The 26,414-nt window shown below is 39.4% G+C and overlaps 1 protein-coding gene across 9 annotated transcripts in view, besides 1 other annotated feature; it reads right to left on the reverse strand.

The window, feature by feature from the left end:
* FMN1 (formin 1) overlaps positions 1–26,414 on the reverse strand; it is a 429,171-nt gene that overhangs the window by 398,623 nt on the left and 4,134 nt on the right. For all 9 annotated transcript variants that reach the window (XM_011521509.4, NM_001277313.2, XM_011521504.4 and 6 more), the window contains one exon: positions 16,032–16,096. In XM_011521509.4, coding sequence (XP_011519811.1) covers positions 16,032–16,096 — 65 coding nt within the window. The remainder of the gene's footprint in view (positions 1–16,031; positions 16,097–26,414) is intronic.
* Positions 24,568–24,627: a silencer, noted in NCBI's record as "silent region_6269". NCBI's record gives its function as "represses an Ori minimal core promoter by ATAC-STARR-seq in GM12878 lymphoblastoid cells {active_cell/tissue: GM12878}" and the evidence as "EXISTENCE:reporter gene assay evidence [ECO:0000049][PMID:35858748]".

Here is a 26,414-nt window from a genome sequence, read left to right on the forward strand (position 1 = left end):
AGTTTACTTATTTTCTCAATGATTTTTGTTTTCTTCAAAAAGTCTGTAAATTTATGATTTTCTTTGCATTCTAACAATGTCACAAGAAGGAAAGCACTAAACTAGAGTTTCGGAGGCAAAATTCTTTCCTGTGAAACTATGATTTGACTGTGAGACCACCAGCATAAGCTATGTCTTATTTTAACATATGGGCAAATCTCTACAAAAATGTAGAGGACAAATTTCAGCCAATATAACTATTTTAGAGGACGAGTTTCTGGCCAAAGTCACAGCTGGTTATTAAAGGGAAAAAAAGGGCTCCTTTTTGTGTACGTTTTTTCATTGCTGTTCATTTTTTGACCTACAAACCAACCCACACAGATACCCAGATATGTTAACAAGGTGTGCGCATTGAAGATTCTCTCAAAGACGTCGAGGAATTCTTTCTTTGCCTCTCCCTTACCTTTTCAAAGCTTAATTACATAAAGAAAAATGAGTATTAGCTTTCCACATGATTTCCATGAAAATTAGATATTGAGATCCTCAACACATCACTGGTTTTACATCACTATCTGGCTAACATCATCATCTACAGGAGATGTATGAGTATGCTTAGGAAATAAGCCCTTTCCCCCTGATTTAATTTTTAATTTTTATGGGTACATAGTAGGTATATATACTTATGGGGTACATGAAATATTCTGATACAGGCATATAGTGCATAATAATCACATCAGGGTAAATGGGGTATCCATCACCTCAAACATTTATCATTTCTTTGCATTACAAACATTCCAGCTATACTGTTTTAGTTATTTTTAAATGTACAACAAATTATTGTTGACTGTAATCACCCTGTTGTACAATCAAATACTAGTTCTTATGAATTCTATCTAACTATGTTTTTGTACCCACCGCCTGATTTAAAAAAAGAATCTGTAGATAGGAGATTCCTACTCGTTGAACATTTAAGGCTTTACCAACAATGGTGACAGCACAGCATCTCGCTAAAGGTGGGCTTAGTACATTTTACTTTGTAGTTAGTAAGACAAAGAGAGCTTCCTTTTCAAATATCGGGAGTATCTTTTTTAGATATGTGAACACATTCTGTGGAGTTTGCTTTTATGAGAACTTTATATCAGGAACAATGGTTGCATATGTTACATCAAATTTGCATTTTCTGATTAAGGAAGCTGCTCTTGAACAATGGCTTTCCAATTAGAGAGCACAAGGGGTTTAAGTAGGTTTTTCTTTCTTTTTTTTGAGACGGAGTCTCGCTCTGTCACCCAGGCTGGAGTGCAGTGGCGCGATCTCGGCTCACTGCAAGCTCCGCCTCCCGGGTTCACGCCATTCTCTTGCCTCAGCCTCCCGAGTAGCTGGGAATACAGGCGCCCGCCACCACGCCCGGCTAATTTTTTTGTATTTTTAGTAGAGACGGGGTTTCACTGTGTTAGCCAGGATGGTCTCAATCTTCTTACCTGATGATCCGCCTGCCTCGGCCTCCCAAAGTGCTGGGATTACAGGTGTGAGCCACCGCACCTGGCCGGTTTTTCTTTTTAACAGGCAACTGCAAAGAGACGATTGTAACCCCATTTTATAGAGGATTGAGGATGCAGGCAGGGTGCTTTGATGGTACTCTCATTTTTAAAGGTCTGCCACACAGTACAGCTCTCAAGGAGGAAGGTGGGGACCATGGGGGCTCTCCAAGACAAAGCTGATCTGCCATCTCTCCCACTTCCCTGATAGCCACATCTGTTGACAGAAAACCTATTTTTTGGTTGTTGTTGTTAAAATGTCTGTTCATTTATAAACCTAGTAACATGGAAGGAAAACCTATTTTAATTATCTCACATTATGTGTGTTTCGATTTTATAAAATACTGGAAATCTTTTTATAAATCACAGTAATATGACATCTGTTTAAAACGTCCACAAAAGAAGTTCTTTGGTTTGAACTTCCATTTGAGCCAAACCACCATCATGTGAGGCAGACATAGCAGATGCGGTTATTGTCACTGTATACCCAAGGAGGCTAAAGGAGACAAGAAATTTCAAAGCGACTTGCCCCTGGTCAAACAACTAGTGAGCAATGGAACTGGACTCAAATCCAGGTTTCTGGACTCTCCGTATGCTGCTGTTTCCACTACCCTAGTACCACTGGCACTCACTTTTTCTTTTTCTTTTTTTTTTTTTAAAGAAAGACCAATGAAACAAAGTGCCATTTTTAAAAAGCCCAAAATTTAAAAATGTATTGCGGGATAGGATTTTAAAAATGTATTGCTGGATAGGACTTAAAATACAATATAGTACTATATGCAGTGAAGCAAGTGGACTCAAAGCCACTACTTTGTAAAGATTTCTCATTTAAATATAATTTTATTAAATCTTGAAGTAGATACCTTCTAAGAAAAAATTCATATCCCATCAAATACTCAGAATCCTACAAGAGATCATATAGGCAACAGTTTCACAGGTGTGTTTGCTTCCTTTTTGCTTTGTTGCTGTTGTTCAGGGAGAGATACTGGTATTAGAGTTTTACAAACTCTTCTGTTTACCATGAGGATCAAGGAAGGCCCTCTTCATCTTAATCCAGCGTTATTTCACGAAATCCATCCTAAGAGTTAGTTATTTTGAAATGCACTTCGTAAAATACCAGTGACCATATATATAGACTGCTTAAACAGAAAGATCTACCCAGGGTAGAAAGGGCTGTGTAACCCAGCAAGGGAAGCACTGGGCCATGAGTTGGAGGCATGTATCCCAATCCAACAAGGGCAACTGGACTCACCACTGCTGTATGCCAAGCTCATGTGTTTCTTAGTAGACTAATCAAGGGGCAGGAAGATAGCAATTTGTGGACAAGCAGTAAAAATCTAGTAAAAATTAAATATTTAGGTGAGGTAATGAAATGAGTAGATTCATACTTGGTTAAGAAGGAGAAAGAAAGAGGAGAGGAGAGAGATGACATTAGCCAATGATATGGTTTGGCTGTGTCCCCACCCAAATCTCACCTTGAATTGTAATAATCCCCACGTGTCATGGGCAGGCCAGGTGGGGATAACTGAATCATGGTGGCGGTTTTCCCAATACTGTTCTCATGGTAATGAGTAAGTCTCATGAGATCTGATGGTTTTATAAATGGAAGTTCCCCTGTACAAGGTCTGTTGCCTGCTACCATGTAAGATGTGCCTTTACTTCTCCTTTGCCTTCACCATGATTGTGAAGCCTCCCCAGCCGTGTGGAACTGTGAGTCCATTAAACTTTTTTCCCTTATAAATTACCCAGCCTGGGGTATGTATTTATTAGCAGTATGACAACAGACTAATACAGCCAACATTTCATGAGGTCTTAACCAGTGCTAGGCCTTTGGCTAAATGTACACCATGCCTCATTCATTTACAGTTGACCTTTGACCAAAGCAGGGGTTGGGGTGCTGACTCCCTGCCTGCACAGTCAAAAATGTATGTATAACTTTTGGTTCCCCAAAAGCTTTACTGTTAATAGCCTACTGTTGACCATAAGTCTTACTGATAACATAAACAGTTGATTAACACATATTTGTATGTTATATGTATTAGATGCTGTATTCTTCTAATAAAGTAAGCTAGAGAAAAGAAGATGTCATTAAGAAAATCACAAGGAAGGGAAAACATATTTATTCTTTATTAAGTGGAAGTGGATAATCCTAAAGGTCTTTATCCTTATTGTCTTCACATTCAGTAGGCTGAGGAGGAGAAGGAAGAGGAGGGGTCTTGCTGTCTCAGGGACGACAGAGGCAGAAGAAGTGAAGGAGAAGGGAGGGAGGAGAGACAGGCACACTTGGTATAACTTTTATTGAAAAAAATTCACGTAAAAATGGATCCACTAAGATCAAACCCGTGTTATTCATGGGCCAACTGTAATTCTCATAGTCCTATGAGTGGGTACTAATAATTCTTCCATTTTACCCATGAGAAATCATGTAAGCTTAGGGAGGTTAAGTAACTTGTCCGAAGTCACAGAGTTATTCAGTCACAGAATTGGAACTTGAATCCAGGACTATTTTAAAAGTCTCTCTGAGTAAAAGTGACAAAATACTGCATTTCTTAAAACTTCAGGGAGAAATAATGAATCTGTTATGGGAGGCCATCAGGGGGCCTCTAATATAAGGATTATTTTGCTTCTCTTCAGAAAAATATGGTTAACAGATTGTGTTTATTAAGCAATTAACACTATGATCTATGTGCCCCTTGATCAGAATATAAATTAATCCATCTAGAAGCAAGGACAAAAAACACATAATGTTTGCAAAATTCCTGTTAGGAATTCCTCTTTGTCCTGAAAGTATGTTAGTGCTCATGGTTTAAGGTTTCTGTCAGAGCCTAGAGAAGAACTTGTCCCACAATACCCCAGAGAGAGTGACAAAGGTTAAAACTGGACATCACCATTAAGTTTGCCTCAAGTCAAGTAAAAGAATTGTGACTGAATTTCAGTTTCTGCCACAGGGGATATACTAAAAAGGGTCAAAGTGTCAAAGTTTGACGTGGTCCTCTTTGTGATTAGGAGGTTGGCTGTGGCTGTGGACAGTTGGTATCTGCTCAAGCATTTAAACCAACCCCAACTTTGGCACAAGGCTGCAGGTTCTAAAGGTAATATCTAAACCAGATCTAACTAGCCGCTATTCCTTGATATTGGAATTTAAAATAATTAAAGTCTCAGTCACAAGTGCTAAGACGAGATCCTCTAGGTCACAGCAGCCACAGTCTGACCCAAAGGGCTTAGCATAAAAAGTGGTGCCGCCTTGGGATGAACAATACACAGCTTCCTCTTAATAAACTGAGCTGCTCTGGGAACTCCCCATTTGATTGCCACTCACAATTTCGATACTTTATACAAAAATCTCATATCCACAATTCCTGCAGTTGGAGATGTCACGATAGTTCTTTCACACCATTTACATACAAGTTTAGAAGCATTTCCAGATGATTCCACAAATTCATTCTCAACAGTCTGTTAATTGAGCTCAATAGAAAGGCAAAAACATAAAAAGGACATTACTTATTAGAATGACTGGCTTGAAAAGAATAAAGGGGAATATAAATATACATTTATGAAACTAATAAAAAAGCCAAAGCTTTGTTGCCCTAGATAACTTGCTATAGCGGCCTCACGCTGCTTCTAGAAATCTACTATGCTCCTAGGATTCAAAACACATCCTCAAAACACATAAATAAAAATCCTTTGAAAACATAAAACAGTTTAATAAAAACAATTTCTGAATTTGACATTGCTAAAACTTCAAATTTGATTGAAGGAATAAATATACGCAATAAAAAAATTCAAACGGAATTTTGAGACAAATGGCTACTGTTGAGATTCCTAATGGGAAGAAGGGTAAGTTTCTTCCTCTTCCAAAAATACCAGGGAATTTCTGGGAATTAAAGAACTCTGAACACAGTTCTAACATCAGGAAGATTTTACATTGTTTACGGCAAATTTCAAAGACACTTTGAAATAAAAGCAAATATATAATAAGTATAGCAAATAGGTCTGTAATGAGAAGGCGCTGGGCCCGGAGATCCAGCTTTTTATAAAAAGCCTTTTTTTTTTCTTTTCCTTTTTTTTTTTTTTTTTTTTGGTAATAGCCTTTTCCAAAAAGTTGCAGTCAGCATAAATTGCAAAATAAATCTGTGAACCAGATGAGGCCACTATTGAGCATATTATTTATTCTTTTGTCATCAGATTAAGTAATATTTTCTAAAGTAGATACATACTTGCATAACAAATCACTTTTCCAGTTGGATGATTCTGCAGAGATTAAGAGGTCAGGATTACCAAGAATATCCTTCTCAAAAAGCCCAATACCATCAGAAGAAAGACGCATTTAGCTGCATTTATTTAAGCCAAATAAATTTATATCAAGTCTTTCTTCTAAAAACCATGTTTTGTGGACCAATAGAACTGAATGGAGAACCCAGAAATAAATTCATATATTTACAATCAACTGATTTTTGACAAGGGCACCAAGAACATACATCAGGGAAAGGACACCCCCTTCAATATACAGTGCTGGGAAAACTGGACATCCATCTGTAGAAGAAATAAACTAGACTTGCTATATCTCTTGACATAAACAAAAAATCAACTCAAGATGGATTAAAGAATTAAACGTAAGACATGAAACTAGTAGTGGAAAACATAAGGGAAACACTTCAGAACTATGGACTAGGCAAAGATTTTATGGCTAAGACCTCAAAAGCACAGGCAACAAAACCAAAAATAGACAAATGGGACTATGTTAAACTAGGAAGCTTCTGCACAGCAAAGCAGAGTGAAGACACAGCCTGTTGAATGGGAGAAATATTTGTAAACTTTTCATCTGACAAGAAACAAACATACAGAATATACAGGGAACTCAAACAACTCAACAATAAAAAAAAAAAAAACCCGTTGAAAAATGGGCAAAGGACAAGAATATTTCTCAAAAGACATACAAACGCCCAACAGGTATATGAAAAAATGTTTGATGTCACTAATCAGGGAAATGCAAATCAAAACCACAATGAGATATCATTTTAACTCAGTTATAATGGCTAATAGCAGACAAAAAAATAACAGATGCTACTGAGAATGCAGAGAAAAGGGAACTCATACACTGTTGGTGGAAATGCAAATTAGTATAGTCATTATGGATGAAGATATCTCAAAAAAAGAAACTACCATATGATCTAGCAATTCCAATCCCACTACTAGGTATTTATCCAAAGGAAAGGAAACCAATATAAAGAAAATCAGTATAAAAAAGGGATACCTGCACCCTCATGTTTACTGCATAGCAAAAGATATGGAATCAACCTGTGTGTATAAACGGATGAGTGGATAAAGAAAATGTGGTATATACACAATGAAATACTATCTGGCCATAAAAATAATGAAATCATGTCATTTGCAACAACATGGATAGAACTGGAGGTCATTAAATAAGCCAGGCACAGAAAGACAAGTATCGCATGTTTTCAGTCATATGTGGGAGCTAAAAAATTGATATCATGTAAGTAGAGAGCAGAATTATAGTTTCCAGAGACTGAGAAGGGGATGTGGAGAGAGGGGAATGAAAAGGGGTAGGTTAATGGGTACAAACATACAAATAGAAGAAACAAGTTCTGATGGGCGACAGTAGAGTAACTATAGTTAACAGCAACATATTGTATATTCCAAATAGCTAGAAGAGAAGATCTGAAATGTTCCCAGCATGTAGAAATGGTAATTGCTCAAGGAGACAGCTGTCATAAATATCCTGACTTAATCATTACACATTCTATGTATGTAACAAAATGTCACCATGTATCCTATAAATAAGTACAAATATTATATGTCGATTAAAAAAACTTGTTTTGGAACATTAAATGTTTCAGGAAATGCCAACATTTATAATATAAGTAACTTCAGGGCATGGAAATTTAATTCCAGCAATGGTTCTTGGAATTTAATTATTAATGGAGGAAAAATGAACTATGGGTTTTTTTTTAAATCTTAATGTTGGGAGGTAGGATACAACATTTCCCTATTTCTTTTCTTCAGTCTTAATTTCCTTCCCAGACCCAAAATCTCATTACTGCAGCTACAGTTAGTTCTTGCTCAATCTAAGATGTTTCAAAGAAAATATGTAAAATGCTATTCACAAATGCAATTAGAAATGTGATCACTTATACAACTGTGTGTACATATCACTAAACGCCATTATAATGTACAGCCATGAATAGTATTTCAAACACAATGATTCGAATTAAAGAAATGTGTTTTTGGCCGGGCGCGGTGGCTCACGCCTGTAATCCCAGCACTTTGGGAGGCCAAGGCGGGTGGATCACGAGGTCAGGAGATTGAGATCATCCTGGCTGACACGGTGAAACCCCGTCTCTACTAAAAATACAAAAATTAGCCGGGCGTGGTGGCGGGCGCCTGTGGTCCCAGCTACTCCGGAGGCTGAGGCAGGACAATGGCGTGAACCTGGAAGGCGGAGCTTGCAGTGAGCCGAGATCGCGCCACTGCACTCCAGACTGGGTGGCAGAGCGAGACTCCGTCTCAAAAAAAAAAAAAGAAAAGAAAGAAATGTGTTTTCTATTTAAGACACTTATGGATTTTATGGTATTAATGAAAATTTGATGTAATTACTAAAGTACTAAGAGGTGGAATGGGTGGACTTTTGTTTCAATGATCAACCCACATACTAAATGGAGGTTCCATGATAAAGTTAAGCAGAGACCATTGGTATACTCAGTTATCTGGAGGAGGAATAGCAAGACGAAAAAAGGTACCACACATGCGGTGAGAGTGTTATGTGGCTCTTCATGAGTGATGGGTACAGCCATCTGCACAGGGAGGAGCAACTTAATCACCAAGGGATGGGACAGAAAGGGGAAGAAGTGTAGGATACTGACACTGGTTATGTGGTTTGACACAGAGTTGGAAATTCTTTATTTTTCAGCTCCTTTAACCCCGGCAATGTAACTTCTGCCTCATAAGGTTGTTACCTTCACTTTATGGATCATAAATGGATTCACAAGAGGTTCACGAGAAGGAAGTGGCAGAGTTGGGCTTCAACACAAGGTCAATGTAGTCCCAAAGTCAATAGTCCTCTAAGTATAGCACACTGAGTAGAGATTAAAGACTGTCAATATTCTAGCTTATCAGAAAGTGTTTTTAAAAATAGAAAAAAAGAAAAGAGAAAGCACAGGATTTCAGTAATGTTGCAGAAAATATGAAGGATAATGAATCAAAGAATGTGACTTTAGGAAGAAGAGAATAGGGAAGGGAGTGAGAGGGAGGCAACTGTTAGAAAGCATGCAGTAAGCACAAGATTGATCTTGCCAGAGGTTTTCTAATACAAGGGCAATACCATATAACCCACAGAACAATGACGGAGCAGCTGAAGAACCTCATAATAAAGTTGTTGTATATCATGGTGACCCCTGTGCCTGACCCCAATCTGAGATATCCAGTCTACTTCTTTGTGAAACTGATGAATAAGGAATCCTTTATAGGTTTATTACACAACTAGATAGGCAGGGAGACAGTTTTGAGATTGGAAGTACAAGGAGGAGGACATAATTGGTTACAAGAACCTGGGGAAAGAGGGAAAGTTGTCAGTAAGGTGGATGAGGTGAGAGAGAAAGATAAAGACAATGAAGAAAAACAGTATCTGGCTCAGACAGAAGAAAGAAGGTAGAAGTTTCTTTTTCTTAGTGTTTGTAAAAAACTTTATGAGACCACGAAACCAAGCAGTGCTGCTTCAGGGCCCAGGTGAGAAAGCATGCTTGGTGTTAGAGAAGGGACCATTCTCCCCCATGCCCCATCTACTTCATTCCCTAAGAACTCAAAATGGTCATTGGAAAAGTCTGCTGTAACCAGCATAGCACCATTTTAATGCAGGGCACCAGAGGCCAGAACAAGATGCTGTGAGGAGGAGGATAGAGGAAAATATGATTGGTCCAATTGGTGAGCACAAATGAAACTTCAGGAAATAGGCCGGGCACGGTGGCTCACGCCTGTAATCCCAGCACATTGGGAGGCCAAGGCGGGCGGATCACCTGAGGTCAGGAGTTCCAGATCAGCCTGGACAACATGGTGAAACCCTGTCTCTACTAAAAATACAAAAATTAGCCAGGCGTGGTGGCAGGTGCCTGTTATCCCAACTACTTGGGAGGCTGAGGCAGGAGAATCGCTTGAACCCAGGAGGTGGAGGTTGCAGTGAGCCGAAATTGCGCCACTGCACTCCAGCCTGGGCAGCAAGCCTCTGTCTCAAATAAAAAATTAAAAAAGAAAGAAAGAAAGAAAGAAACTTCAGGAAATAACCGAAGGAGCTTTTAAGAGGTCAATTAAATCCTATGTAAACAGGAAAGAACTAAGGTTCAATATAATATGTATTATTATTATTAATGTGGCCTCACTGGAACCTATAAACAACAATTTCTGGGTTATTAAGCTTATAGAGGATGAAGAAGGAGTAAGTGACACAGAAAAGGATATAAAAAAGAAGAAGCTCAATGAAAAATATCATTTTCTTTTCCCAAAGAAAAGAAAAGAAAAGCAAAAACATCCAAATGAAATGGGTTTCTTTGGAAGGTTTGCTATCATTGAACATTTTCAAGTGCATGTTGATGACTAATTGACAGAAATTCTAAGGAAATTCTGTTTCCACAGACCTGTAAGTCCTTCTTAATACCTCCCCCTCTCAGATTCCAATCCATTACTAGATCCGATTGATTTTACTTCTGTGTGAAAGAGCATATGCTTGGATGAGTTGGCCTTCAGAACCGCTTCCATTCTGAGCCAGTATTTTGTGTACATTATGTTATACAATCTTCTTGAAAAGGCAAAGAATGTTTGCTCTCTTAAGCTGTATTCCATAATACTCCAAATCATAAATTTTTCGTTTCAAATACAAAGTAGACCCCAATCATCAACATTTTTTTGATTCAGTTAATTAGACAATTCCTTAGCACACATAATTTGATCCACTGATACTTAAGGGATCAATCAAGTGTTTCTAGCCCCAATACTAGCCATTATATTCTTGAGAGCATAGGATCATATTCAGCATATATGATGTAGTTTTCCATGTTGCCAGCTCCCATACTGTGAATATTACCAACGACAAGATCCCTGTGTAACCCATATTTAGACTTATAGAATAGCGGGACAATCAGAAATCTTTCCGCATTTCACACTTTAGTGTTTCCAACAAGCCAAGTGCAATTCTTCAATTACATCAGGATTTCTTTTTCAAATCTGGGTGCCAACCCACAGGGCTAGATAGGGAATTTGTTACACTGAGAACTTTTAGAAAGAATTTTTCTTATCACATCTGCTTTAAATAGTAAAACTAGTTTCCTTTCAGAGGAGGAAACGATTTTTTTTTTTTTAGACAGGGTCTCACCCAGGCTGGAAGGTGGAGTGCAGTGGCATGATTATGGCTCACTGCAGCCTTGACATCCGAGGCTCAAGCAATCCTCCCACCTCAGGCTCCCAAGTAGCTGGGACTACAGGGGCATACCACAATGCTCAGCTGATTTGTTTTTTGTTTGGTTGGTTGGTTGTTTTTGTTTGTTTGTTTTTGTTCTTGTTTTTTACAGCCAGGGTTTTGCCATGTTGCCCAGGCTGGGGTCAAATTCCTAGGCTCAAGTGACCCGCCTGCCTTGGCCTCCCAAAGTGCTAGGATTACAGGCGTAAGCCACCATGCCCAACCTGAAGGAATTATTCTTTAAGAGCTAGGATTTCAATTATGGAGACTTCCTAGGTTATTTCAAGGGAAAGAATTGACATTCTGGAAGAAAACCTCCTCACTCTTCTAAGTTTTACCATCTATTTTCTTCTTTCACTACCTCTATTTTGAAAGAAATTCAAGAAGGTAGGGAGCCCCTATTTCTCTATATCTCTTCCCATTTCCTTTGCTTTTAAATAAAGAAATGAATCTTCAAAAACTAAGCTTAGAACACTTTACACAGTGTGGGCTATATATTTTCTGGCCTGACAACTGCTAGGTATGGCCTCAGTGAAGTCAAAATTTAGTGCCCATTAAAGCAGAGAAAACTGAAAAACAGCACTCTTCCCATCCCACACACACACTTAGAAGAACTTTTCACATGGATGCCAAAATCATCCAAGAAATTCTCACCCATATATTGTTCCCTTCAAATAAAGGGTTCTGCCCCAGTCAAATATTTTTTATTATTGTCAAAGTTGAACTGAGGCTACAATGCCTCAAAATTCCATAATGCCTCATACTTTCTTAAGGAACCTCACATACATAATTTTATTTAAATAAGCAATTTATCCGAATATTGTAGCAAGATCAATATGTAAAGACGTGAGACATGTGAATTTTGCTGAAGAAAGTTTGAGAGAAATAGTCGGTTAGAGGGCCCCAAAGCAAATGGTACATTTTCCTTTTAAAAATCATTCCTGAGGCCCCCTAGGTGCAGTGTCTCATGCCTATAATCCCAGCACTTTGGGAGGCCGAGGAGGGTGGATCAAGAGGTCAGGAGTTCAAGACCAGCCTGGCCAACATGGTGAAACCCTGTCTCTTCTAAAAATACAAAAGTTAGCTGGGCATAGTAGCACATGCCTGTAATTCCAGCACTTTGGGAGGCCAAGGCAGGCAGATCACAAGGTCAGGAGTTCGAGACCAGCCTGGCCAAGATAGTAAAACCCTGTCTCTACTAAAAATGCAAAAATTAGCCAGGCTTGTTGGCAGGCACCTATAGTCCCAGCTACTTGGGAGGCTGAGACAGGAGAATTGCTTGAACCCGGGAGGCAAAGGTTGCAGTGAGACAAGATCACGCCACTGCACTCCAGCCTGGGCGACAGAGTGAGACCCTGTCTCCAAAAAAAAAAAAAAAAAAAAAAATCATTCCTGGAGTTCCCACTACTTGTCAGACATTTTCCTCCACACTATTTCACATGGATAATTTGTCTTTAAGCACCTCTAACCAGCCTCTTTATATTTCCTTTCTTCTCACTTGTAATACTTTCTCTTTCCTGTCCCTATAAAAATTCACTCAATTCACTCTAAAAATATGACTAGATATAAATCATTTCATTCTTGACTATATATGTTAGCCTTCACAGGAAGATTATCATTTTCAGGGTCACCCTGTCGGTGGAGAATGATAGGTTGTGAAGTCAATTAAAGGAATCCAGCTTCACTTAAATAGAAGTATTAATATGGTCAGGGGTCTTCGCAGATGGCAAAGTCCTAATGCTTCTACCTGCAGCTAAGACACTGCTTAAGAACATCAAGAGTGTTTCTATGCTTTGGTTCTCAAGCAAAAGATGAAGGAACAGTCTATGCCTTTAAATAATTAAGATAATTACTGCTGCTTAGTGATCACTCACCACGTACTGGCCACTCTTCCAAGGGCTTTACCTGTTTTAACACATTGATTTTTACAGAAAAGCCTGTGAAGTAGGTACTATTATTATCTCCATTTACAAGGAAGAAGCTGAGGCACAGGAGGGTAACTTGTCCAGGGTCACACAGCTAGTAAGCTGCTGAGCTGCAATTTGAACCCAGGTGCTTTGACCCAGAGCCCTGGCTCTTGAAATTCCTTACAGGACTGATTGGGGACAATAGGTCTTATTCAGAAAACAGGCCTACTCATTTACTAATTCCTCTTCTTTAGGTCATAGAATATGGAGCACTCACACCATGTACAACTGGTCTAAGACTGATCAGTCTTCACCTGAGATGGTTTCTACCAGGGCAGGGCAAACTAAGAAAAAAGCAGTGTCAGAAGGCTTGGACTCAAGTCCAGCTTTGCCAATTACTAACAGTACTCTTGTGCAAGTCACTTAACCTCATTGCACCTCAGTGTCCTCATCTGTAAAAAGGCCTTTTGTTCTCCCTACTTACAGTGCAATTCCATAGTCCCCCCTGCAAAGAAATGAAACCCACTCACCAAATTACTTTTCTAGGTAGACAGTAAATTCAGCGCACAAATAGGATCAGAACCCAGATTTCCAGAGCCAAAAGAGATACCACAAGACAGTAAGGGGTGAAAACAGGCAAAGGAAATGGTGTAAGAAATTTAGATATGAGAAGGCTGGGTGCAGTGGTTCATGCCTGTAATCCCAGCACTCTGGGAGGCTGAAGCGCATGGATCACATGAGGTCAGGAGTTCGAGACCAGCCAGACCAACATGGTGAAACCCTGTCTCTATTAAAAATACAAAAAAAATTAGCCAGGCATGGTGGTGCATGCCTGTAATCCCAGCTACTTGGGAGGCTGAGGCAGGAGAATTGCTTGAACCCAGGAGGCAGAGGTTACAGTGAGCCGAGATTTTGCCATTGGACTCCAGCGTGGGCAACGAGAGCGAAACTCTGTCTCAAAAAAGAAAAGAAATGTAAATATGAGGCGGGTACGGGCAGGAAGAAGCCAATCCTTCATCAGGAATATGAAAACTAGAAAAAAAGCAAATGAAGTGTCAAAAATAAGTAACAGCACTGAATGTAAAAAAATTTAAATGAATGAAAAATGAATGAACTAATCAATGCATGTTATTTCCACTTCTATTCTAGAAGAACATTCACTGTTAGCTTAAATGAGACCCAGGACACAGTCACCGCTTCACTCCAGCACTTCCAAGGTTTTTCTTTCTGCTTTGATCCAAACGCTATTTGCACTTAACATGTACCATCTGAGGAGGTGCCTTTAATCACTCCCTCCTGGCCTGTGTATAAAGGCAAAAATTTTCAACTTGAGACTGTCTTGGGCTTTTATCTGCCAGTCTCAATGGTTTATGATGTCTCCATATCCTGCTCTCGGTCTCAAGTCTGTTTAGCTACCTCTGTTAGATTGTTTTGTCCAATCCTAACCATGCCCATGAACTTACACTTTTGGTTTCCTTGAGGCCTATTCCTCATAGTCTTGAAGGCAAGGGTTTCCCTCCCTCCTTAACCCCTAGCACAGCTTTAGGACTATACTGCCTCGGTTAAAATCCCAGCTCTTCCACTTAGCACATTACATAGTTAAGTAATCTTTGTGAGCCTTAATTTCTAATCCCTAAAGTTAGTCAATACCTGATAGATACACTGGCATTCAGAATACAGTGACTGGTACATAGTAAGTACTATATAAGTAATTGCTACTATTATGTGCTTCAGATCCTCATTATTCAAGAATAGAATCCCAATACACCCTGCCTTCTATTGGCAATGAACCTTTTGCAATGTATTGTTCCTATTTGATTAAAGCCTCTCTAAAGGGAAGACTGTCATTGTCACCATCTTTGTATTCCCTTCAGTACATAAAACATGACACATATTCAGTAAATAGTGGATTAAAATGTAATTATCTAAAGATACAAATCCAACCTGCGTCTCTGCCTGAAAATCCAAGCATATTATTATTTGTAGCCAGCAATAATGATTAATGACAGCTTGATCTTTACTTTCCAATAAACACAACAATTAAAGTAGACAATAAAATCATAATTAGGAACAAAATTGGCTTTCCACCATTAGAACATATATCAAGGAGAGAAAAATATGAAAAGTATAAAAATTCAATAGGAGAATAACAGAATAAATTGATACCAAACTTTCCATTAAAAATCAAATTTAAATGGCAGTAGGAAATGTGAAAAGTAAAGAAAAAATTTTTTAATGCTCTCAGAGACTAAACAAGGGAAAAAAATGGATCTATGAAATGTTGATCCATCCCTGATAGAAAAATGAAAGGTATGATTTCAGGATTCTAACATAAACTGAAAAAAATATATTTTTGCTCTTCCTTTTGCCTGAACTGCCCCAGAATCTTTATGACTCAATCTGGGGGTACCTTTAGATATCTGCTCAAATGATGCCTCATTAGAAAGGCTTCCTTGGTCACCCAATTTAAAATAGTGCCTACGGCCACCGTCACTGTTGAGTCCCTTTCCCTGAGGCATCTGTCTCCATGGAACTTGTCATCTGCCACATTATATTTCTATTGGTTACATTCTGTCTCCCCTACAACTATAGAATGTAACTGTCATGAAAAGAGTTTTGTTCACTGCCATGTCCTATGTTTCAGAGATTAACTAGAAAATCATGGGTGATCAATAAAAATCTGTCCATTGAGTGAATCACTTATTAATACAAATATTAACAAATATATATGGAAAGTGTTTAAAATAGTGCCTGGCACATAATGGGCCCAGTTAGCTATTTTTAATAGGAATAGAAATAGTAGCATTCCTTCCTTGCTTCTTTTTGATTGATTGGTAAGAAAAGTCTTCTGCCTTGAGTGACTAGAAAAAAGTAGGAAGCCTTAGATAAGTAAGGAGCTGGGAGGCAGCTTTGAAATCAGGAGCGTAAATACTTACTTTATTTAGGGGACAACTGGAATTTACTAATCTGCTCTGTAGTACAGCATGGGCAAAGAGCAGCTTTAGTGGAATTAACATAACAATGTGGGAGGAAAAACAAGGCAGGAATCAGAACCCTGTGGGTGAAAACATTGCACAGGAGCCCAGGGCCAGAGCACAGCGTGTCAGTGAACAGAAGCTGCTGCCATGATTTAGTCCACCTTCTTACCTAGATCAGCCTTCGCTTGGGCAGGGTCCAGATGCGGAGATGTGAAAAACGTGATGCCACCAGGCCTGTGTAAAAAAAAAAAAAAAAATCAAGGCTCACCTGAAGTAATTTGCACATTAGGTGTGTATGTGTTACTGTGTTTCTTATATATATTAGGTGGCTAATTTGAAGGGGCTTTCAGAAATTGGGGATCACAATGCTGACCCTTTAAGGTCTTCTGGAGTAAGTCTAGGGAACAGACGATCCTGCCTCTTCCGTGAGATAACCCTAATCTCCCACCTAAACTACTGCCTAGCATAGGGTAACCAACCATGCTGGGTTGCTTATGATTGAAGAGTTTCCAGGATTCAGACATTTCAGTGCTGAAACCAGCAAAGTTGCAGGCAAGCCAGTACCAGTTGGCCATCCTGTATCCTTGTAAGCCTGCGTATGCTCATCTACTTAGTGTTCACACTGCAATGAGAACAATCATTTAAAACAAATCTGGCCACATCGTGCCTCAGCTAGTCACACACAGCCAGATCCCTTCAGAGGCTCTCCTGCTGCCTTTTTTTTTTTTTTTTTTTTTTAAGACAGAGTCTCACTCTGGTTGCCCAGACTGAAGTGCAGTGGTATGATCACGGCTCACTGCAACCTCCCCCTCCAGGGTTTCAGCCATTCATCGGCCTCAGCCTCCTGAGTAGCTGGGATTACAGGCCAAGTGCTACCACGCTCAGCTAATTTTGGTACTTTTAGTAAAGAGGGGGCTTCACCATGTTGTCCAGGCTTGTCTTGAACTCCTGACCTCAAGTGATCCATCACCCTTGGCCTCCCAAAGTGCTGGGATTACAGGCATGAGCCACCATGCCCGGCCTCTCCTGCTCTTAAGGCAGATTTTAGCCCTTATCATGGCCTGAAAGGCTCCGTGTGGTCAGGCCCCTGTTGATTTTTCCAGCTTAATTTTTGCATCACATCACAGCCAGTTTCCTTTTGGGGGCTCACATGAGGCCACTCCCTTCTGCTATAAGGGTTCCTTGCATGATGTTCCTCCTGCATGGAATATGATACCCATCTCTCTTTCACATAGTTTTACTTCTAAAAATTTTTCAGATCATTTTACTCCTAAACTGTTTTCATATAGTAGCTCCATAACTGTCACTTTTTCTGAGATGTCTCTCCTGCCTCTTCCGAGCAGACAAATCCTCTTCCATGCCCTTTGGGAGCTGCAGCCACTGCTGTTGGCGCCCACCATATACTCTTGACATGACCTCCACACACAAAAGCTGCTCGCTGCAAACACCTGTGACTTTCTGCCCGATGGCTTTCTTACTGCACGTGGAAGCACCTTCCCCAGCACACAGGATGGTATCAGATGAGATTAGAGCAACAGGTAGGAGTCAGATCAGGGAGGCTTTCGGGGCTGTGATATAGAGTCCAAATTTTATTCTAAGTTCAATGGAAAGTTATTGGAGAGTTTTGCATTGCGGAGAGACAAGATCTGATTATATTCTTTTCTTTTCTTTTTTCTTTCTTTTTTTTTTTTTTTTTTGAGATGGAGTTTCCCTCTCGTTGCTCAGGCTGGAGTGCAATGGCGTGATCTCAGCTCACTGCAACCTCTGCCTCTCAGGTTAAAGCGATTCTCCTTCCTCAGCCTCCTGAGTAGCTGGGATTACAGATGCCTGCCACCATGCCTGGCTAATTTTTTGTATTTTTAGTAGAGACAGGGTTTCACCATGTTAGCCAGGCTGCTCTCGAACTCCTGACCTCAGGTGATCTACCTGCCTCGGCCTCCCAAAGTGCTGGGATTACAGGCATAAGCCACCATACCCGGCCCGTGATTATATTCTTAAAAGGTCACTCAGACTGCTCTATGGAAAATAGATTGTGAAAGGGTACATCTGGAAGCAGAGAGAAGCCAGTCGGGAGGTTAGTGTAGTAGGCAAGATTATTTTTCTAGCTGGAATCATTGGAAGTACAACTGAAAGCATAATAAAAAGTGGCTTTTTGTAACAGCAGCAGGAGCCTTCAAGTCTAGGGTCAGCTAAGAAAGCAACTTACCTGAGAGGTCCTCTGAAGTCTGGCTCATTCAAGTGGGTTCTTAGAAATGGGTGAAAATCTTACTCTTCTCATGCATAAAGCAGGGATAATGAAAAAAATGTTTGAGAAACACTGTTCTAGAATCTCAGGCAGGCTGTAGGCTCATTTTTAGGGCCATCCATTGCTCTTAAGCTGGCCTGGAATGGCCCCTGGCCTCCTTGACTAATCGCCCTCAACCTGCCCTATCACCTCACATTTCTTCAGCTCTGTACAGACACTGACTAATTCACCTACTCAGTGGGAAGATGGTCCAGTCAGATAAAATGGTCTATTTTCAAGTCAGCCTCTCTAAACACAGATACTCCTGTTTGGACACCCTCGAAGTATACAAGTGAAGGAAGGAAGTGTTAGGAGTTACATAGGGTGATGCAGATACCATGCATCTCAGCGGGATCTCTCCTTCCAGGTTTCATGCTTCTCTTTCTGCCCAGGCGCCATCTACCTCTCACTGGATGAATTCCTATGTGTTCAACAGAGCCCAACCACAAATGTCACCCACCCTGGAAATCCAGGAGGAAAAAAATTTATTCCTTTTTTTGAGCATCTAAAGCACTCTGTAAAAATAGCATTAACAGCTACTATTACTTGAGCACTTGTGGCAGGGATTATGATAAACATTTTGCCTGAATTATTTCATTTAATTTCCCCATTGTTAACCACTTTTTACAGACAGGAAACTGGGGCTTAGAGCAGCGAAGGGGCTTGCTCAGTGTCAGAAAACTAATAAATGATAGAATGAAGATTCAATACCAAGCAGCCTCTTCCCCTCTAGACCTTAAATACACTGTCCTATGACTTACACCACTGTGTTATAATCAGCAGCTCACGTGCCTCTTTCCTCTATTACTTCCACCATAAATGACCAAGGCCTGCTGTCATGAAAAGAGAATGACTTACAATCAAACCCTGTTGTATAACTTTAGGATATTACTTACTGAGACTCAGCTTCCTCATTTATAAAATGGAGAAAACAAATGCCTACCTAATAGGTTGTTGTCAAGATAAAATTAGATAGAACTTTTAATGCACTTACCACAGTAAGTGGCACATAAATGCTCATTCAATTAAACAAGTATTATTTGAGGGCCTGTGGAATGCCAGTCCTTACGATGGACACTGAGGATAGAGAAATACCAAAATGTCTCTCATGGAGCTAACACATGAGAAATTTAATATATGTTGATTGCTCTTACTTCTTGAGGACAGAGACTGTGTGTTACTCAACATCGAATTTCTATAGTTTAATCATGCCTAGCACCGAGTAGACACTCAATAACATTTCAGTGAATTAGTAATAATGGGTTACATAATTTCATACACCCAAAGTAGTGGGGATTATGAATGACTGTTTCAAATTGGTGGGTTGACATTTATCAAACAGTAGGAAGAATTGAAAGCAAAGTACAAAAATAGCATACCCAGAGGTTGTATGCACTAAATTCATTTAAGCATAGAGTTACTACTAAATAACTTTCAAAATATTCTCAGGACAAAATGGAATGTTATAACCTGAATAATATAGAAATAATAACACATCTAATACTCAGGAGGTGGGGAGAAAGGGTGGGGAGGATGTTTCAAAAGTGTTACTCTTTCAAGAAAGAAAGTCAACTGATACTGTCTAAAGAAGACACTAATTTATAAAAACAGCAATATAATCACAATGACTTTAACTTCATGATTTTTTTTTGGCCAGAGAAACTTTTAAAAAATATATGTATCTCAAGGATATATCTTGAAATAAGGTAAACTTATTGGTTTCACCATTCTTTTAGTTTCAATTCAGTTTCTTTTTATTGCTTGAAATTCAAGAAAAACTAATGTATTGTTTTCGTTATAAACAGCATCTCTATTCATTTTTATAAAAGCATTTCTACCTAAACATCCATGCAGGTAGATTCATAGAGAGACAGACAGACAGCTGTCTGAAATGATATTACCTAAGGTTAACAATTGGAATGATAGTATTTGAGATTTTTAAAATTTATCTTTGTAACGTAATGCCTTATATGAATTCTTGAAACCAACATACATCATTTTTTAAAAAAGTATTTCCTACTCTTTCTAAAGAAAAAATATGGCAAGATATAGTTAATTCTTCCTGGTAGGAATATAGATCATTGTTATTTTCTTCTTTTCCACATTTCAAAAATGATTTTAAAAAATTTATATCAGACTGTACATCCATAAGTAAATTTCTTCCCTTTTAATTTAGATCTTTTTTTTTTCTTTTTTTTTTTTCCCTGAGACAGAATCGCACTCCTTCTTCACCCAGGCTGAAATGCAGTGGCACAGTCTCAGCTCACTGCAACCTCCGCCTCCCGGGTTCAAGCAATTCTTGTGCCTCAGCCTCTCAAGCAGCTGGGATTACAGGCGGGCGCCACCACACTCAGCTAATTTTCATATTTTTAGTAGAGATGGGTTTACGCCATGTTGGCCAGGCTGGTCTCAAACTCCTGACCTCAAGTGATCTGCCCACCTCGGCCTCCCAAAATGCTGGGATTACAGGTAAGAACCACCGCGCCCAGCTATAATTTAGACCTTTTTTTACTTATGTTGCAAATCGTATCCTTAAAATTACTTGAGAATCCAGTTTACAAAGCGGAAAAGACTGTATTCTTTTGAATGCTCTTTATAAATGTAATCCACTTAAGTAAATGAAGAGCTGATGAATATGCTACGTTATATGTGTGCTTATATTGTTAAAGGTTTTTACATGAAGAGAGATTATGAAAAGCTTCACGATACCAGACTATGTCTAATGGGGTCATTAAGTTCAGGATTTTCAAACTAAGTGGATTTCCTTGTCCTTCTTGTTTAAAGCATGATTATTGAAGGTTAGCATCTGCTTGCTGTGGTAAGTGACAAACTAGAGTAATCCAGTTCTCAACCCCAAGTTAAGAATAATAATTTAAAATACACAACAGTTGCATAGTCGTAATGTTTTGGAGGTTGTCAATAAAATACCTGAGCCACCTGTTTAGGTGCCATGGCAATATCTTTTTTCATTTATTTGGGAAAAGTTTGGGAGAAAAGTTGGTAGTCCTATTGGTTCCTTAAAATAATTCAAGGAATCTATTGTTTCCTGTAGAAATTCAGTATTCTCTGGGTTTTGTATTATTATATTAATATTATAGAAGGTGTTTTCTATTTGAGTAAAACACTGCCTGTGAAAATTTTAATTACCGTTAATTCCAATTTAGAGAATAGAAAGTAAATTTTTGTTTCCTTTACTTTTTAGAGAAGTCTTATTTCAATGAAAATTTGTAGTAATTTTTTTTTAATAAAGTAAGAATTTTTTTTTTTTTTTTTTTTTTACACAGAGTTTCACTCTTGTTGCCCAGGCTGGAGTGCAGTGGCATGATCTTGGCTCACTGCAACCTCTGCCTTCCAGGTTCAAGCGATTCTCCTGCCTCAGCCTCCCAGTTAGCTGGGATTACAGGCACGTGCCACCACACCCAGCTAATTTTGTATTTTTAGTAGAGACAGGGTTTCACCATGTTGGCCAGGCTGGTCTCGAACTCCTGACCTCAGGTGATCCTCTCACCTCGGCCTCCCAAAGAGCTGGGATTATAGGCATGAGCCCCTGTGCCTAGTCAGGAAGAAGTTTTTTATAAATTATATTCATGAAATGCTTTCATGCCTATTGAATTCTATAAAAATGCAGGTTGGAATTTCTAGTCTACAAGTTAATAATAGTCATAGGGAAAATGATGGAATCTTAGATTTAAAGAAAACTTAGACATTATTCATCTCATCCCACCTCCTTCCCAAGGCTGGGCCCTCTCCTTCAATGCAACCTTTGTGAATGGTTCTCCAGTCTCACCTTGAGCTCTTCTATTGCAAAGAGTTCTGTGCCCCAAAAGGAAGCCTCATGGCCTTCCAGACAGCTCTAAATGTAAAAAAAAAAAAAAACCTCTCCTTTTCTAAGTCAAAATCTATTTCCATTCATTTATTTTCATTGGTGCTTTTTTCTCACTTCCAGAGCTGCAGTGAGTATATCCAACTCCTTTCCTGCCCAATGGCCCTTTAAACACCTGACCACCAATCATGTTTCCTGAGACACTTTCTCATGCTGAGTAAACCATCCCAGGCCCTTCAGCAAGCCCTCAAATAGAAAAGTGTTTAGCCTCGAAAATCCTACATATTTCTGACTGTTCTCTAGTTTATCAGTGACCCTGCTACAAAACAGTGCTGACAGTTTTAAATGTTCCTCAAAAAAAAAAATAAATAAAAGTGAAAGTTTTGCCAGGATCACAAATACAGTTCTTGCAACTGTCACTTTAAATTATTAGAAAAACACATCTTAAATAGCCAGATTCTATCTTACTATCTCTTCACCTATCTTAAGTTTCAGTTTCCTCTTCATCATGTTTTTCTTTCTTTGCAAATTTGAAGACCATTCTTAAGTTTCTCTTGGTTGCGAGCAAATGAAACTGATTTTGGCTACCTTAAGCAAAAAGAGAAGCATATTGAATCTCATGAAATTCATGGGCAGTTTCATAAAATCAGAGAAAGAGTAGAAAGGCCAAGAGTTGGAAGAAGAGAAAGCAGAGGCTTCCAGTGGCCTCCTGCATCAGGCTCACAGGTATCTCCCTGGAGCACTTCTCTTACTGCGACTTAACTCCAGTGACTCTTAGTCAATGCAGTCCTTCAACCCAAAACTCCAGTTTTGGGAAGACATTCCATCTGGCCCACCTTGGATCAGATTTCCAGATCCCTGGTTTAACTAGTCCTGCCCAGGAACAGAGTCATGTCTACAGGGACCCCACACCTATATATTGGGGTCATTCCCAGAGAAAAGAAAGTAGATATGAACAAGGCAGACATCCCCAATTGCTGTACTTCTAAAAAAAGTAATATTCAGAAACATTGATATTAATCTATGTTTACTTTTATTTCTCCTTGTATTTTCCCCTTTGCTTAACCCCCACTAAGGCAGGTATTAGAATTGGAATTCATTGCATCAGGAGAGGTATGTGGTAAGGAGAAAAAGATAAATAGCCTGTGATTATTCCTAGATTGTGTTTCTCAAAATTCTAAACTCTTAGAACACAGGGAATTTCTTGAAGCATGTAAAAAGGAGTGAGATTTATCAACACAAAGAGTCCTGAAGAACCCTGAAAAAAGAATTATCTCCCCAGGGCTGTTGGGAAAGGAAGGCAAGAGGCTTGTGGATGCTGGAGGAAGGACACCCAGGCCCTACTTCCTGGCAGTGTCCCCAGAGAGGTCACAAGACCCTAGAGCCCTGCGTGCTATATCTAGGTAAGTAGGAACCATAGGAAATGTCAACAAAAGAATTCTGTGGGTCAAGCTCCAATGGGACACAGCCACAGATGACTACAACTGAGAGAGCTGGGAGAGCAGAATTACTGGGTGCTACAGAGTAACCCATGCATTCTGATGCCTCAATGACCAGAAGGTCCCTCTTCCCATGCCGTGGCACTGTCAGTCCCCTGGAGCCTTGACACAACTCTGGGGGGTGGTATAATACTGAGAAGGACTGAGGTTAAGTTTTCCACTTTTCCAGAAAGAAAAGGCTTGAAATAGAAATGAACATGGTTTCTAAAAAATAAAGAGATAATTTTCATATACCTGTCTTTGTAGATGGAGACTCTTATCTGCAAGGCTTGAATGAAAATGACAGGAGTAAAATGAAAATTGAGTAGTTCTGCTTCCTTGCTCTCTGTGAATTTGGCCCATCTTTTTCAAGCAGCTGGATTTGTACATCATGCACTGATTGAAATGCTAAAAGCCCTCTTTTTAAAAAGTCAACTTTGGCCGGGCACGGTGGCTCATGCCTGTAATCCCAGCACTTTGGGAGGCCGAGGCGGGCAGATCACAAGGTCAGGAGTTCGAGACCAGCCTGGCCAAGATGGTGAAACCCTGTCTCTACTAAAAATGCAAAAAAAAAAAATCAGCCAGGTGTGGTGGCGCACGCCTGTGATCCCAGCTACTCAGGAAGCTGAGGCAGGAGAATTGCTTGAACCCAGGAGGCAGAGGTTGCGTTGAGCCAAGATCATGCTGCTGCACTCCAGCCTGGGCGACAGAGGGAGACTTTGTCTCAAAAAAAAAGTCGAGTTAGCATTTTTTTCAAATCCTCTTGTTATTCATGACCTTAGTGTTCCTGAAGCTGTTGCCCTGGGTCCATGTCATACCTTTCTATACATAGTCTTAGACTATATCTCCCTTTCCTCTCTTCTGTGTGTTTCTTCCTTCTTAGATGTGGTTCAGGCAGAAGGTCCCTGCACAACTACTTTGGAGTCTTCAGCTGTGTCTCCCTTTTGCTTTATCATTTGCCAAGTTTGTGACTATGATATCAGAATTTTGTTTTTCTTAATAAATTCTGTTAAGTTCCTGAATTTAGCTAATGGTGCTGCAATGTGGCAGCTATTGATACATTTTAACAAAAGATGAAGAAAAAAAAAAAGTCAAGACCTAGAAACTGAGTCTGAGAGTTGACTGCCTTCATTTTCGTAGGCTGCAGGGCTGTTACTTCCTAAAGAGAAGTTGAGTGATGTAATGAACAAAGCCCAGGGAGTCAGGTGACCTGGATCTATTCTTGGCTGTGCCACTGACCGTGTGTGACCTTGGGCAAGTCACTTTTAATCTCCCATCTCAGTTTTCTCCACTGTATAACTAGAAAAATATCTTGTCACTTAACAAGAGAAAATTTGGGCATAAGAGTTACTGTTGCTTGCTGCTTGAAAAAACTTTAAGGTTTTTTTGTTTCAACCTACCACAGTCTTCCTTAAGATGGTGTGGTATCATGGAGTTTCAGTTCTTCAAATATCGTGAAAATTAGAATTAAATTGTTTTCGGAGGTTAAAATTAGGACCAGTTGAAAATAAATCAGAGGGTGATCTTAACACAAGGCCAGTACCTCCATTATGTGTGATATGTTTTATTCATATTTACTTGGGGTTGGATGGGTAGGAAAGAGGGAAAGCCCGGCTAGTCTCCTGTAAGTAGAAGGTAGAGGATGCTACAATAGAAATAGAAATAAAGAGAGATGGGGACATTGGCAAACAAGGACAGGACTGATGCCAATTCTGTAGATGAAATCCATTTTCTGCAGAACTGTGGGCTTTTAAAAAATTATTTGCAAAGCTCTCCAAATATGAGCTAGGCTTAGAAAATTTTCTGAAGTGGCTGCCTTCATCTAAAAAGAGAAAGGAGAATAATTCTAATGCCTAAAAAAGCAACTCTTGCTTTTCACTATATTCATACCCAGCATACTGAACTTTATTTATGGTTTATCCTGCTTTGTAAGTTTAAAACATGATAAAGCCAGGAACGTTCTCTGTGGCTTAGGCTTACTAGAGCACAGATAGAAAATAGAATGCAAGCCTAGCAGGTACATACTATCCAGATTCCATTGAGAGCCGGCCCCGTAAGCAAACACATTAATCTCTATGATCCTTGATTTCCTCATCTGTAGGAGAGGTACAGCATCATTTACCTACTTCACAGAGGAACCAGCAGATTACATAACCAAAGAAAGGAATTTAAGTCTTCTGTATTAAGCCAAGGATGGACACAGAGAAAACATACAACTCATGCTCACTTGAGTCTTGCCCTTGGAATAGACTTTGAGGACATTTTTCTCAGAATAGAGCATCAACAAACTACATGGACTCCCTGGTGTAACGGTGAGAAATCAGCTTTATTAGGACGCACAGGGCTGAGACCATAGGGATGTGCTTTCGGTCAGTGAAGAGATCAAAGCAGCAATGCACACTTTGAAAATGGTAACAAAGATTTTACTCACTGCCTCTTGGGGACTGAACACATTTAAACATAACAATGTTTGCTCAGTTGTAATTCTCACAGAGGAGGAAGACCATTAAACACTGTGGCAGCAATTCTTCCCAAATACTTTCTCCATTCTGGCTCAGCAATCCTTACAATAGCAAAGAGCAAAAAACCTGCTCTTTAATACTTAGAAGTATTATCTTCTCTACTGAGAAGAGACTGAAAAGAGTTCTTGAAACTCTAAAGAAGAGATTTTAGAGAACATGAGACAGTGCTACAGTCACCTGTGTGCTGCTCAAAAGATGGCATTCATTCAATTTCATTTGAATTTCATTTGTGCAAATATTAAGGTTTTGGAAACCATGAGGTTTCCCAAAATTACTATGGTGAGTGAATCACCAGGGAGGGCTTCTCCTAATAAGTAGACAGTTCTCTTTCTCTTTGAGAGGTCCATATTTTTCCTTATGTTTCACGGAGGACATCATTGGAGAAAGCACCTAGGCCTAGATGAATGTGGATAGATACTCACGTGGGGGAAAAATGGAAAAACAG

The sequence above is a fragment of the Homo sapiens genome, chromosome 15 (genome assembly GCF_000001405.40).
Source record: "Homo sapiens chromosome 15, GRCh38.p14 Primary Assembly".
NCBI classification, from domain to species: domain Eukaryota; kingdom Metazoa; phylum Chordata; class Mammalia; order Primates; family Hominidae; genus Homo; species Homo sapiens.